Source organism: Homo sapiens, chromosome 12, assembly GCF_000001405.40.
Source record: "Homo sapiens chromosome 12, GRCh38.p14 Primary Assembly".
Classification (NCBI taxonomy): domain Eukaryota; kingdom Metazoa; phylum Chordata; class Mammalia; order Primates; family Hominidae; genus Homo; species Homo sapiens.
In genome coordinates, this window is record NC_000012.12 from 14,237,805 (window position 1) to 14,247,924 (window position 10,120).

The 10,120-nt window shown below is 42.8% G+C and overlaps 2 annotated features.

Annotated features, from left to right (window-relative positions):
* Positions 1,421-2,360: an enhancer, noted in NCBI's record as "H3K27ac-H3K4me1 hESC enhancer chr12:14392159-14393098 (GRCh37/hg19 assembly coordinates)". NCBI's record gives its function as "activates a minimal SCP1, AML or CMV promoter by ChIP-STARR-seq in primed H9 embryonic stem cells {active_cell/tissue: H9 hESC(primed)}" and the evidence as "EXISTENCE:reporter gene assay evidence [ECO:0000049][PMID:30033119]".
* Positions 1,515-1,594: an enhancer, noted in NCBI's record as "active region_6040". NCBI's record gives its function as "activates an Ori minimal core promoter by ATAC-STARR-seq in GM12878 lymphoblastoid cells {active_cell/tissue: GM12878}" and the evidence as "EXISTENCE:reporter gene assay evidence [ECO:0000049][PMID:35858748]".

Below are 10,120 nucleotides of genomic sequence, written 5' to 3' on the forward strand. Positions count from 1 at the left end.
AGAAAGGATGTAAATACTATTTCCCTAACATAGAGTGAACTATTTTGGTAAGGGCTCTTGTTGGGGATATGACCTTCATTGAAGGGACAGAGCCCTGGGACCTCATAAGAAGGGAGCTGGGGGGGATAAACTCTCCAGCTCTACGCTCTTCTTTCTCTTTAATTTCCTTTGAGTGCTTCCCATTGCCCAGACCCAATTTGAAGCTAAAAGTCAAGATAGCTTCTTGATGCATTCCATATAGGTCAGTCTCTGCCTCCTAGGACACAAAGCAGAGTAGAGAAGGGTGGATATTGGTCTAGAGAGGCAAAATAAAAGTAGCATAATCACTTTACACTACAGTACTACTACACCATTCTGTCTCCAGCGGTGGGAGGTTAGAAAGGTAGGTAGATAGTCAACTATTTTATGGAGCAAATAGTAAAAATGTATACAGGCCTTCTGCAAACTAACCAAAAAAATAAAAAGAAAAAGAACGGGGCAAAAAATAAAAGCTTTTGATAGGCATATATCATGTTATTTTTGGAAACCACTATTAAGAACTGTAAGCTTCCTTGATTGTTACAGTGCTTAAAAGCATCCAGGAGATGGCAGCATTGGTAAGGTATTTAAAAATCAAATGTTAAAAATATTTTTCACAATTATTATTGATAGATAATGAGCTTCCCAAATGGAATAACGTTTTAAAGTATAGTTGGTCCTAAATAACTAAAAATGCAGAAATACTAAATTATTGTCAAATAATAGCGTGGCTTTATGCAGGTGGTTATTCAAGAGTACACTCACATGACACATGACAGTTCAGTAGATATTCGGACTGAAAATACAACAGATTACAACGGGGCTGAAAAATTTCTATCGCCTAATGAGGCCTAGGATAATGAGTGTGTTTGTGTCTTAGTTTGTTATTTGTTTCTTTTTTCTTTTATTTTCTTTTGAGACCTGGGTCTCGCTCTGTCACCCAGGCTGCAGTGCAGCGGTGCTATCTTGGCTCACTGCAGCCTCCGTCTCTGGGGCTCAAGTGATCCTCCTGCCTCAGCCTCTGGGGTAAGATTCCAGGCATGCACCATCACCCTTGGCTAATTTCTATATTTTTTTGTAGGGATGGGGTTTCACCATGTTGCCTAGGCTGATCTCAAACTCCTAAGCTCAGGAGATCCTCCCACCTCGGCCTCCCAAAGTGCTGGGACTACAGGCGTGGGACTGTGTGGCCCGACCTGACAAAAACAAGTTTAATAACTAGAGGCAACTATTCACAAATCATATACAAAATATCATATGTGAGATGTGGTGGCTTATTAAAATCTAGATATCACAGACATCATATCAGTTATGAGGCAAAAAAAATTAATCTGCCTTTAAATGTTATTTCTAAACTGTTTTAATCATTTCCAACATTGAAACATAAATTGTTAAAGATACACCTAGATGTCAATATTCTGGCCCAGGTACTTAACTGGGTACAGGAGACAAAATACTAAAAAACAATCTGACCTTCTAAACCCTCAGCCTGAGATGGAAACAGACAACTCCATTGAATTACAATTCGATCTGACTCTAATAGCAAGGTGCCATCTAAATGGGAGGGCCAACTTGCCTAACTCCACCTTGACAGACGGGGAAGGCTTCACCAGGGAGGGAGCACGGAGCAGAGATTTTGAGAGATGAGCCTGCGTTTGCCAGGATAACCACAGGGAGAAGGCCACTGCCTGCAGAAAGAGGAGCAGGCGTAGGGGAGGGTAGACATGAAACAGCACACCCTATCCCAATGGTTAACCAGAGGCAATATCGCTCCCGGGGGAGATTTCGAAATGTCTGGTAACATTTTTGCTTGTCACCACTGGAGGAGTGCTACTGGCAGCTAGTGGGTAAAGGTCAGGGATGCAGCTAAACGTCCCACAGTGCACAGACAGCCAACCACGACAAATGAATTATCTGACCTCAAATACTGCCACTGTTGAAAAACTGCTGTAACCGCAAATGGCATCTCTTTGAATGGCAAGGTTACAGAAAGGAATAGCAAAAATGCAGCGATGATCCAGGAACGTTTTCTAAAAGGGGGCGGGGATAAAATTAGGGAAGGTTTATTGACACCCCCCAAAAAAAAGAGAAAAAAAGAGAGAAAAGTTTAGATTTTATTGTAAATGTGAGAGAGAGCCAGACACAATCAGCTTTGCTTACTAGAAAGATTGCTGTGGCTGTGGGAAGAGAATGGACTGAGATGGCGACGCTGACAAACAAAGAAAATTGGTATTTTAACAATTTCACTTCTCTTTTCTTTATCAAGGGGAATATCTTACAAATGAAAAAATAGAAGACTGGTAAGAGGAAATTGAAACTCTAGATTGATGTCTAGATTGTAAGAGGGCAAGTAGCTGCTCCAGTGATTTCAAGATTTGTGATGAAGATAAATTAAACTGCCATGTCTGCGCCTCACTTCCTGAATCCCTCCCTCCCGCTGGCCTGCACCGCTGCCCCTCCCTCCTGTCTGGCGTGGTTCCTTAAAGCCCTGCATTTGACTCCCTACCTTGGCTCCCATTCTTTATTTATCCCACCTGACTGGCAACCCAGATTTGACTTGTTCTTCCAGTTCTGACTTGGAAACTACCCATCAGCCCTTTGCGCAGATGCCGAGGGTTAGAAATGCCCCACTCCTTAGCCCCAGGCACAGTGAGACTAACCCCATAAGGGTGGCGGTGAAGGGGAGGGGAGAGTTTGACAAATCTCCTCCCAAGTGATAAGAGAATTTATGGATGAGATTAGCAAAACGCTGTTAGTCCAGACATCAGAGTAAGAGCCAAATCCTGTTTCCTACAGTGTCCCCACCCCACCTCTCACCTCTACTCCTACCATCCTGCCCCTCAGTCACCCAGCCCAGCCATGCTGGCCTCCTTCTGCCTCAAAGAGTTTGCATTGGCTGATTCTGTCTAGATGAAAAACAGAATTCACTAGAGAGCTTTCATAAAATGCCCGGATCTGACCCTTACATCCTTTTATTTTTCCTTCTGGGTTTGGCTTTCTCTTTCTTCTTTCCTTCCCTTGCACTCATATCAGCACCTCTACCCCACCCCCAACTCTTACCACACCCGTGTCAAGAACTGGATTTGTGTCTGCCATATTTTCTCCATGTTCACATAGACTATTTAAGTAAATAAGAAAACCCTGAACGAAAGAGAAACATGAGGATGATAGCCCAGCTTTACTCTTCTACCCCTCCCCATCTCCTTACGATCCCTACTAGCTGGACCCAATTGGAAGCCAGAGAGCAAGGAAGCTCATTGGTGCAGGTCATGTAGGTCAGCCTCTGCCTCCTGGGACACAAAACAGATAAGAGGACCTTGAAGCTAGAGAGGAAAAATAAAGAATAACCTTTTTCCGACCACACAACTTAAGAAACAAAGCACTGGGCATGGTGGCTCATGGCTGTAAACCCAGCATGTTGGGAGGACGAGGCAGGCGGATCACCTGAGGTTGGGAGTTCGAGACCAGCCTGGCCAACATGGTGAAACCCTGTCTCTACTAAAAATACAAAATTAGCTGGGTGTGGTGGCACATGCCTGTCATATCAGCTACTCAGGAGGCTGAGGCAGGAGAATCGCTTGAACCCGGGAGGCAGAGATTTCAGTGAGCCGAGATAGTGCCACTGCACTCCAGCCTGGGCAACAGAGTGAGACTCCATCTCAAAAAAAAAAAAAAAAAGTTATTTAAATCTTCTGACTAGGCCAGGTACGGTGGCTCACACTTGTAATCCTAGCACTTTGTAAGGCTGAGATGAGAGGACTGCTTGAGCCCAGGAAACCAAGACCAGCCTGGGCAACATAGCAAGACCCTATCTCTGTTTTTTTTTAATTAATATATTTTATAAATAAAAAAATAAAAAATAAAAATTAGCTGAGTGTGGTGCACACCTGTGGTCCTAGCAACTCAGGAGGCTGAGGTGGGAGGATCACCTGAACCTGAGAGGTCAAGGCTGCAGTAAGCCATGATCATGTCAATGCACTCCAGCCTGGGTAACAGAGTAGGACCCAGTCTCAAAAAAAAAAAAAAAAAAAAAACTTCTGGCCTGGTGTGGTGGCTCACACCTGTAATCTCAGCACTTTGGGAGGCTGAGGCAGGAGGGTCACAGGGTCAGGAGTTCAAGACCAGCCTGGCTAAGATGGTGAAACCCCATCTCTACTAAAAATACAAAAAAATTAGCCAGGCATGGTGGCAGGTGCCTATAATCCCAGCTACTCAGGAGGCTGAGGCAGAGAATTGCTTGAACCCAGGAGGCAGAGGTTACAGTGAGCTGAGATGGTGCCATTGCACTCCAGCCTAGGAAGCAGAGCAAGATTCCATCTCAAAAAAAAAAAAAAAAAAATTCTGTGAAAATACAAATATTGCAAACATTTTCTCTCAGTCTACAGATTACATTTTCATTTTGTATGTGGTATCTTTTCATGAAAATAAGTTTTTATTTTGTTTTATTTTTTAAGACAGGGTCTCACTGTCACACTGGCTGGAGTGCAATTGTATGATCATAGCTCACTGCAGCCTCTGTCTCCTGGTCTCAACCAATTCTCTTGCCTCTGCCTCCCAAGTAGCTGGGACTACAGGTATGCGCCACCACACCCAGCAAATTTTTCTGTTTTGTTTTTGTAGAGATGGGGTCTTGCTTAGTTGCCCAGGCTGGTATCAAACTTCAAGCAATCCTTCCACCTTGGCCTCCCAAAGTGCTAGGATTATAGGAGTGAGCCACTGCTCCAGTCAGAAGTTTTTAATTTTAATATAGTCAAATATATCAATTGTTTCATTGACTTTAGAGTTTTATTAGAAATGGCTGTTGAAATTTATCAACTATCTTTTCAAAATCTACTTAGATTATTTAAAACTTGATAATATAGGCCAGGCACAGTAGCTCACGCCTGTAATCCCAGCACTTTAGGAGGCCGAGGCGGGCAGATCACGAGGTCAGGAGATTGAGACTATCCTGGCTAACACGGTGAAACCCCATCTCTACTAAAAATACAAAAAATTAGCTGGGCATGACGGCAGGTGCCTGTAGTCCCAGCTGCTCCAGAGGCTGAGGCAGGAGAATGGTGTGAACTCAGGAGGCAGAGCTTGCAGTGAGCCAAGATCACACCACTGCACTCCAGCCTGGGCGAGAGTGTGACACTCCGTCTCAAAAAAAAAAACAAAACAAACAAAAAAAAACTTGCTAATATAACTAATTATACTGAGAGTTTTCCTGATATTGAACTATCCTTGAATTCCTACAATAAGTCCTAAATTGGGTAATCTTTTTTTTTTTTTTTTTTTTTTTTTAAGACAGGGTCTTGCTCTGTCGCCAGGCTGGAGTGCAGTGGCGTGATTTTGGCTCACTGCAACCTCTGCCTCCCGGGTTCAAGCAAATCCCCTGCCTCAGCCTCCCAAGTAGCTGGGATTACAGGCGCATGCCACCACGCCCGGCTAATTTTGTGTATTTTAGTAGAGATGGGGTTTCACCATGTTGGCCAGGATGGTCTCGATCTCCTGACCTCGTGATCCACCCACCTCAACCTCCCAAAGTGCCGGGATTACAGGTGTGAACCACCTTGCCCAGCCCCTAATTGGGTATTCTTTATTATTAATACCAATTTTTAACTCTTGGATTATACTTACTAATATTTTTATATAAATTTTGGATCTAATTTTGTTTCTTCCTTATTAGTCTTTGGTATTAAAATCATCTAAATTTATAAAAATAATGACAGAGATGTCCAACTTTTCCATGTTTGCCTGATAACAAAGGCCTTAAATTAAGTTTATATAAAGGAATCTTCCTTGGTCAGGCACAGTGGCTCACACCTGTAATTCTAGCACTTTGGGAGGACAAAGCAGGCAGATTACTTGAGCCCAGGCATTCGAGACCAGCCTGGCCAACATGGTAAAACCCCATCTCTATTAAAAATACAAAAATTAGCCCGGCATGGTGTCTCATGCCTGTAGTCCCAGCTACTTGGGTGGCTGAGGCAGGAGAATCGCTTGAACACAGGAGGCCAAGTTGCAGTGAGCTGAGATCACGCCACTGCACTCCAGCCTGGGTGACAGGGCAAGACTCTGTCTCAAGTAAATAAATAAAACCTTCCTAGAATTCCATCCTTTTCTGGTAAATTTTCTTACTCTCCCTTCAAATTCTTCAGTTCCAAAAAACTCTCTGACCAGGAAACACTCTGAAAACAGCCTTTTCTTGGGGGCCTTAGTAAAACATACGTCTCTCACTCTAGTAAGAAGACATTCCTTCCACAGTAATCTATGCAGTGATGTATGGCTATGTTTAACTGGCTCTTAAACCAGAAAAACATGATTTGTAGCATTTGCGAATAAGCCACCATGGAAAATTTCAAGCTACCAATGTGACATAACTAAACATGGACTTGGGAAGAAATGTCCATGATTGCCTCTTGGAAGCAGTGAAAGTTAGTTCCAGCATACCATTGAATCAAGGTCCTTCCTCTACAAATGTTAGAGAGTTATGCCAGATTGTGGAGAAATTAAAATGTTACAGAAGACTGGACTTTACCCTGAAGGTAATAAGAAGACCGGACTGCCTTTAGACAGTAGAATCCTCTCCTAGGCTTTGGGCCTCAGGGCCTCCTCTCTCTGACCCCCATGCTTTGGAGTGCCTTTCTCAAATAGTTCCAAGTCTTGTCCACTGCCTGAGACCAGGCAAGGTGACAGTGGCCTCATGTCCATTGCATCCCTTCAGGGCACTCTCCAACACCCTACCTGTCATTTGGTTCCTCTTCTACTCTCCCCCAAGTGGGGTTTCCCAGATGTCCAGAGGAAATCCTGGACCCATGCTTATGCTGTGGCTGCAGTCAGCCTACTTCTAGAAAGGTGACTAGTAAGAGCAGTATTATTTTGTGGGATCCCACAAGATTGAACTGCTGATTTTGAGTGACTCAAATTGTTTATATGGACAGGGACCCTCATATAAAAAAGTATTTGCCTTTTACAGTTAAGCTGGGTATAAAGCCATAGGATTAGTGCTAAGCTAGTGTAATAAATAGGAAAGTGACTGAAATGAAATGTAGGGCTTAAGGACTGACTAATGAGTGTGAGCGTGGGGTTGGGGAAGGGACACTGATTTAAGTCATTTATATAGAAGCAACATGAAAGCCCTCACAGCAATAATTCTGTGAAGGAACTAATGTAAAGAAAAAAAGCAACAGAGATTAAGACTCAATCTTAAAGTTGTAAACACATTTGAGAAGTGGGAGAAAGAGGAATTGAAAAAGAACATGAAGAATGGGTAGTCAAAGGGTTAAGAATTGTTAAGGATGTGGAGTAATCCTCATTAATGATAGTTTTCTTTTAATTAAATCATCTTTGTGGTTTTTAAAAAAACCTTAGTATAGTGTATAAGGTCAAATAATGAAAAACTGTTCCTAGGAGCATTTTGTAAAAACAAAAAACTGGAACAATGAAAATACAAATGGTGGTTATAATGCAAAACTATACAGCAATAAATATGTGAGCATACACAACATTATAGATGATTCTCACAAACAATGTTGAGTAGAAAAAGCGAGGTCCAAGGAATAAAGTTCATATTAAGTTCCAAAACAGGCCAAATTAACCTATGCTGTCAATACTCAGGATAGTTGTTTACTTTTGGGAAAGAGGAAGTAGTGATTGGCAAGAACACAAAGGGAGCTTGGGGTTCGGTTAATGTTCTATTTCCTGACTTGGGGGTGGTCAGAATGTGTTCCCCTTGTCAAAATTCATAAAATCATTGCTCTATATACTTAAAATGTATGTACTTTTGTCAGTATAAACTATGCTTAAATGGAAAAGTTTATTTTATAATGTAAAAGATACCTCCAGCTGGGTGTAGTGGCTCATGCCTGTAAGTAATCCCAGCACTTTGGGAGGCTGAGGCAGGCAGATCACTTGAGCCCAGGAGGTGGAGACTGGCCTGGGCCACATGGCAAAACCCCGCCTCTACAAATAAAAAATTAGCTGGGTGTGGTGGTGTGTGCCTGTGGTCCCAGATACACAGGAGGCTGAGGTGGGTGAGCCGAAATCATGCCACTGCACTCCATCCTGGGTGACAAAGCGAGAACCTTTCTCAATAAATAAATAAATAAGGAGTACTTCCAACTTTCCATGGCACCCTAACCTCTAGTCTTTTTTTTTTCCTTTTTGTGGAGAACGGGGTCTTGCTACATTGCCCAGGCAGCTCTCAAACTCCTGGGCTCAAGCTCTCCTCCCGCCTCTGCCTCCCTAAGTGCTGGGATTAAAGGCATGAGTCACTGCACCCAGCCTAACCTCTAGTCTTAATTTCCAGAGGTAAACAGTATATTAACAGCGCATTATCCGGCCAGGCACGGTGGCTCACGCCTGTAATCCCAGCACTTTGGGAGGCCAAGGCAGGAGGATCACGAGGTCAGGAGATCGACACCATCCTGACTAACACAGTGAAACTCTGTCTCTACTAAAAATACAAAACATTAGCTGGGCGTGGTGGCACACGCCTGCAGTCCCAGCTACTCGGGAGGCTGAGGCAGGAAAATGGTGTGAACCCGGGAGGCAGAGCTTGCAGTGAGCCAAGATCATGCCACTGCACTCCAGCCTGGGTGACAGAGCAAGACTCCATCCCAAAAAACAAACAAACAAAAAAAAACAGTGCATTGTCCATCATTTCTGTTCACAGATAGTATTTAAAGTGCCATGCCCTATTTCATTTCTGTTCAGAAGTTAACCATCTTGTTAGTATAGACAAAGAAAATAGGAACAAATAATCCTCAAAATAACATTAATTTGTTTTTTAAAATTTAATTAGGAGTACATCCCATGGTGGGCTCCATTTTACTCAAGAGACAAACCTCTTATCCTTGGTCATGTATAGAAGAGAAAGGTAGTGACCATGCATGTATGAATGACAATATTAGAAATTAAATTCACAACTAAGGAAAAGGAAATATTGCACGAAACTAACAGCTCATGCCAAATGACGGGAAGTGGGGCATCCCACATTTTATAAACCATTGCCAGGACGTGGGACTGTATAATTTATACTCCTCAGAACCATTGCACTTCTCTTTTTTTTTTTTTTTTTTTTTTTTTTTTAGATGGAGTCTCGCTCTGTCGCCCAGGCTGGAGTGCAGTGGCATGATCTCCACTCACTGCAAGCTCCGCCTCCCGGGTTCACGCCATTCTCCTGCCTCAGCCTCCCGAGTAACTGGGACTACAGGTGCCCGCCACGATGCCCGTTAATTTTTTGTATTTTTAGTAGAGACGGGGTTTCACTGTGTTAGCCAGGATGGCCTCCATCTCCTGACCTCATGATCCGCCCGCCTCAGCCTCTCAAAGTGCTGGGATTACAGGCATGAGCCACCGCACCGGGCAACTTTGCACTTCTTAAGATGATGGCTGGTGCATAGTTCCTTGGGGGTCCAATTTTACATTTTTAGTAGAGAAATGTACTTCCATACACTTTGAACTTCAAAATTAATAACATATTTCTTTTACTCTTCCAGAGATTATGGAAAGAATGCTGAATTTTATAAACAATGGCAGCACTGTCCTATAAAACAATGGACCAGTATCATTCAAGATACTCAGTGACTCAAGATTAAAGCATAGCATATTGGCATTAGACGAAAATTTAGACATCACGAAGTAGTATTTATTGCATTTCGCCTGCCATCATCTGTTCCTCATTCTCTTGATAGCAACACCTTGATTTTCCTTTGGAGAAACACCCTCTTACCTATTCTGAGTTCCTGTGTTTCAAATGAAACAATTCACCCCCATCCTAGGTCCAGGAGTGGACATAAGACCCAGGAACGAACAATCAACATATCCCATTTCCCTGGATCTAGTGATTATTCCAAAGATATGCACATGTTCCTCCCCAGGCCAATGAGGAGCAACTGCAGAATATTTTGCTAGAATCATTGAGACAAAGGTGTTTTCTTTGCGTTGGAGTTATTAAATAATAAGAATATAATTTAGAGTTGTGAAAGGCCAGCGCATGGAAGCCTATTTAACATGATAAGGATTGGACAGAGTCTCAATGATTTCATTTAGGTCCTGAATCCAAATGCATCCAAAAATAGTGCTATTACAGACTAAATTGTGCCCCCTCAAAATTCTA